Source organism: Homo sapiens, chromosome 2, assembly GCF_000001405.40.
Source record: "Homo sapiens chromosome 2, GRCh38.p14 Primary Assembly".
Lineage (NCBI taxonomy): Eukaryota > Metazoa > Chordata > Mammalia > Primates > Hominidae > Homo > Homo sapiens.
Window position 1 is genome coordinate 139,013,912 of NC_000002.12, and position 5,276 is coordinate 139,019,187.

The 5,276-nt window shown below is 42.7% G+C and overlaps 1 annotated feature.

Moving 5' to 3' along the window:
• Positions 4,440–4,940: an enhancer, noted in NCBI's record as "H3K4me1 hESC enhancer chr2:139775921-139776421 (GRCh37/hg19 assembly coordinates)". NCBI's record gives its function as "activates a minimal SCP1, AML or CMV promoter by ChIP-STARR-seq in naive H9 embryonic stem cells {active_cell/tissue: H9 hESC(naive)}" and the evidence as "EXISTENCE:reporter gene assay evidence [ECO:0000049][PMID:30033119]".

Consider the following 5,276-nt stretch of genomic DNA (forward strand, 5'->3'; position numbering starts at 1 on the left):
CTGATGGTTCTGGCCAGCACTTCCAGTACTGTGTTGAATAGAAGTGGCAAGAGAGGACATCCTTTACTTGTGCTGGTTTTCAAGAGGAATGCTTCCAGCTTTTGCCAGTATGTTGTTGGCTCTGGGTTTGTCATAGATGGTTTGTATTATTTTGAGGTATGTTCCTTCAATACCTAGTTTATTGACAGGTTTTAGCATAAATGGGGTGTTGAATTATATTCAAGAGCCTTTTCTGCCTCTATTGAGATAATCATGTGGTTTTTGTCTTTAGTTCTGTTTATGTGATGAATCATCACATTTATTTTCCTATGTTGAACCAAACTTAAAATTCCAGGAATAAAGCCTACTTAATTATGGTGGGTTAGGTTTTTTTATTTTTTATTTTTTATTTTGAGACAAGGTCTCACTCTTTTGCACAGGGTGGAGTGCAGTGGCATAATCTTGGCTCACTGTAGCCCCAACCTCCAAGGCTCAAGCAATCCTCCCACCTCAGCCTCCCAGGAAGCTGGGACTACAGTAATGCACAATCATGGCTGGCTAATTTGTTTATTTTTTGTATAGTTGGGGTTTTGCCATGTTTTCCAGGCTGGTCTCAAATTCTATCCACCTACCTTAGCCTCCTAACACACTCAGATTACAGGCATGGGGCACTGTGCCTGGCTGATAAGCTTTTTGATGTGCTGCTAGATTCAATTTGCCTGTCATTTGTTGAGGATTTTTGCATCAGTATTCACCAAGGGGATTGGCCTGAAGTTTTCTTTTTTTGTTGTGTCTCTGCTAGGTTTTGGTATGAGTATGTTGCTGGCTCCATAGAATAAATTAGTGAGGAGTTCCTCCTTCTGATTACTGGTCTGTTCAGGGATTCGATTTCTTCCTGGTTCATTCTTGGGAGGGTATAAGTGTCCAGGAATTATCCAGTTCTTCTAGATTTTCTATTTTGTGTGCATAGAAGTGCTCATAATATTCTCTAATAATTATTTGTATTTCTGTGGGATCAGTGGTAATATCCCCTTTGTCATTTCTAATTGTGTTTATTTGGATTATCTCCATTTTCTTCTTTATTAGTCTAGCTAGTGGTCTATTTGATTAATTTTTTTTTAAAAAAACAACTCCTGGACTTGTTGAACGTTTGAATGTTTTTTCATGTTTCAGTCTCCTTCAGTTCAACTCAGATTTTGATTATTTCTTGTGTTCTGTTAAGTTTGGGGTTGTTTTGCTCTTGGTTCTTTAGTTCTTTTAGTTGTGATGTTAGGCTAGTAAACTAAGATTTTTCTTTTTGACATAGGCATTTAGTGCTGTAAGTTTCCCTCTTATCACTGCCTTAGCTGTGTCTCAGAGGGTCTGGTATGTTATATCTTTGTTCTCATTAGTTTCAAAGACCTTCTTGATTTCTACCTTAATTTCATTATTTACCCAAAAACTATTTAGGAGCAGGATATTCAACTTCCATGTAATTGTATAATTTTGAGCAATTTTCTTAGTCTTGGTCTCTAATTCTTTTGAGCTATGGTCAAAGAGAGTGGTTGTTATAATTGTAGTTCTTTTGCTTTGCTGAGGAGTGTTTTGTGTCTTATTATGTGGTTCATTTTCAGAGTATCCCATATGCCACGTGGCAGTGAAAATAATGTATATTCTGTTGTTTCGAGGTGGAGAGTTCTGTAGATGTTTATCAGGTTTATTTGATCCAATGCTGAGTTCACATCCAGAATATCTTGTTGATTTTCTGCTTCATTGACCTAATACTGTCTGTGAGATGTTGAAGTCCCCCACTATTCTTGTGTAGAAGTCTAAGTCTCTTTGAAGGTCTCTAAAAACTCGCTTTATGAAACTGGGTGCTCCTGTATTGGGTGCACATATATTTAGAATAGTTAGGTCTTCTTATTGAATTGAAACCTTTACCATTATGTAATGCCCTTATTTGTCTTTTTTGATCTTTGTTGGTTTAAAGTCTGTTTTTTTTTTTTCTGAAATTAGAATTGCAACCACTGTTTTTTCTGATTTCCACTTGCTTGGTAGATTTTTTTTCCATTTTTTTTATTTTGAGCCTATGGGTATGATTGCTTGTAAGATAGGTCTCTCAAAGACAGCATAACAATGAATCTTGGGTCTTTATCCAGCTTGCCACTCTGTGCCTTTCACTGAAGCATTTAGCCAATTTACATTCAAGGTTAGTACTGAAATGTGTGGATTTGATCCTGTTACCATGATGCTAGTGGTTATTATGCAGACTTGTTTGTATGATTGCTTTATAGTGTCACTGGTCTGTGTACCTTAGTGTTTTGGTAGTGTGTGGTAACAGTCTTTCCTTTCCATATTTAGTGCTTCCTTCAGCAGCTCTTATAAGGTAAGTTTGGTGGTAACAAACATCCTCAGCATTTGCTTGTCTGAAAAGGGTCTTATTTCTCCTTTGAGTATGAAGTGTAGTTTGGCTGGATATAAAATTTTGGGTTAGAATTTCTTTTCTTTACAAATGTTGGATATAGGCCCCCAATCTCTTCTGACTTGTAGGGTTTATGCTGCAAAGTCAGCTGTTAGTCTGATGAGCTTCCCTTTGTAGGTGATCTAACCTTTCTTTCTAGCTGCTTTTAACATTTTTTTCTTTCATTTTGAACTTGAAGAATCTGATGATTATGTGTCTTGGGGATCATCTTCTTGCAAAATATTTTGCTGGGTTCTCTACATTTTCTGAATTTGAATGTTGGCTTCTTTAGTTAGGTTGGGGAAGTTCTCATGGATGACATTTTGAAGTATATTTTCCAATTTGCTAACATTGTCCCCATCTCTTTCAGGGACCATGAGTCATTGATTTGGTCTCTTTACATAATTCCATATTTCTTGGAGGTTTTTTTGTTCATTTTCATTCTTTTTTCTTTATTCTTGTCTGCCTGTCTTATTTCAGAAAACTAGCCTCTAAGCTCTGAGATTCTTTCTTCTACTCAGTCTATTTTACTATTAGTGCTCGTGATTAAGGCTGGGTGCTGTGGCTCACACCTGTAATCCCAGCAATTTGGGAAGCTGAGGCAAGGAGATCACTTGATTCCAGGAGCTTGAAACCAGCCTGGCTGACATGGCAAAACCCAGTCTCTACTAAAAATACGAAACATTAGCCAGGCATGGTGGCACGTGCCTCTGGTCCCAGCTACTTGGGACACTGAGGCATGAGAATCACTGGAACCAGGGAAGTGGAGGTTGCAGTGAACCAGGATTGCACCACAGCACTCCTGCCTAAGCAACAGAGTGAGGTCCTGTCTCAAAAACAAACGAACAAACAAACAAACAAACAAAACTTCCGATTGCATTATAAAATTTTTATAATGTCTTTTTTGGCTCTATCTGGTGAGTTCTGTTCTTTTCTATACTGGCTATTTTGTCTGTCAGCTTCTCTATCATTTTATTCTGATTCTTAGCTTCCTTGGACTGGGTTTCAACATACTCCAAATCTCAATAATCTTTGTTTCTATTGATATTCCTAATTCTGTTTCTGTCATTTTAGTCATCTCAGCCTGGTTCCCAACCCTTACTGGAGAGGTAGGGCAGTTGTTTGGAGAAAAAAAACCAAGAACCTCTGGCTTTTTGAGTAGAGAACATTCTTGTGCTGGTTCTTTCTCATCTTTGTGGGCTTATGTTCTTTCAATCTTTGAAGTTGCTGACTTTTGGATTTTTTTTTTCATTATATTTGATGACCTTGAAGGTTTGATTGTGGTATAAGGTGGGTTTCAGTCTACTGGCTTTTTTCTGGAAGGTTTTAGTGGGCCTATGCTCAGCTCCAAACTCCTGCACTGCATGCTTTAACTCTGGGGAACTTGCATCAGCCCCGACTTTGTTTTCTGGCTCCTCAAGATTAGGAATCCACTGCACCGAGGGTGTCAAGGTGATCCCAGACTGCTGGTCACTACACTCCAGTGGGATGTGCCAGCCAGTGTTTCATAGCATGGTGGCAGTGGGATCTGGGCTCCTTATCATGTGCCAGCAGCAGTGGCAGTGGCAGCATGGCAGGGTGCACACTTATTAGTTGTGGTAGGGTGCTAGCACATGCTGGTGTTCCTGTCACCATGTGGACATTCACAACAGTGGCAGAGGCAGCACACCATATGGTGGGGTTGGGGGAGTTTGGGGTCCTACTGGTGACTGTGCATGGAGTTGTGTTGGTGGTGGTGTTAGCATGGGGGCAAAGATGAGAGGCTGGTGGGTGTCTAGGTCTGTGTGAGCTCTCGGTGTGCTGCAAGCAGGGGTGGTCACTCAGGGTGGGGGAAGGTCTGCTGTTCTCTGTGCCTAGTTTCACTCCTGCAGCAGTGTTGTTTCAGGGAAGGGGTGCTGGTGGGGGTGGGAGCTGGCTGGCTCTGTACATGCCAAGGCTCCAACTGCAATGGTGGTATGGGGGCAGGGGGCAGAGTGCACTCATGCTGCAGCAGTGGCAGGGGTCAGGGGGGATGCACACATGCTCACTGGCAGGGCAGGGAAGGAAAAACCCACTCATACACATATGCACCAACAAAGCGATGTTAGGGGTGGCCGTGGGCTAGGGAGAAGCTGCAGTGGTGGGCAGGGAGTGAGAGGGCTGTTGCATGGCCATGGGGGCTGCCCCATTGGAGCTCTCTGCCAGTCAGGCCCAGTCCACAAATGCAGGAGATGTGATGTGGGCACCTGAGGCTGCCCTGCACACAGATGTGGCCAGACTGGGGTGCTGGGAGAGTCCAGCAGAGCAAGAGGTGCTCAGGTCAGATCAACCCCATCTGATGGGCAAGACCACCCTGCAGATTTCAGGTCTGACAGTTCCCCTAGGGCCAGAGTCTCCTATGGGAGCAAGTCAAGCCTAGGGGGATGGGCATCCCTGGCCATGATCCAGTATAGAGGCTCCCACATCAAACCCTCTGGGCTTCACATCAGCTGATATGCTGCTTCTACCCTTTCTCTAAGAAGCTCTCCCTGCCAACTTGAGTGTCTGTGGTGGTCGAGAGGTCTCTTCCTATTGGGATTCCAGAGGCCCATGGTGGCAGCAAGTTGCTTCTTGCCAGTTCAACTCACCTGTTCCTCCAGAGCCATTGGAGTCCAGGAACAAATTCCAGTATGTGATAACCCCATGCAGAGTTCCCAGCTTCCTTCTCCTTCAACCTATCTGCTGTGTCTTTCCTCTGTCCACTCTCAGTGCCTTCCCTCTGAAGATCTGTTAGGAGTACACCAGTCATCTTGGTCCCTCAGTGGCAGCTTTTCACCTGGCTGTGTCTAGTCAGCCATCTTATCCAGCCTCCCCCAAGATTTTTCTTTTTAATGAAAGC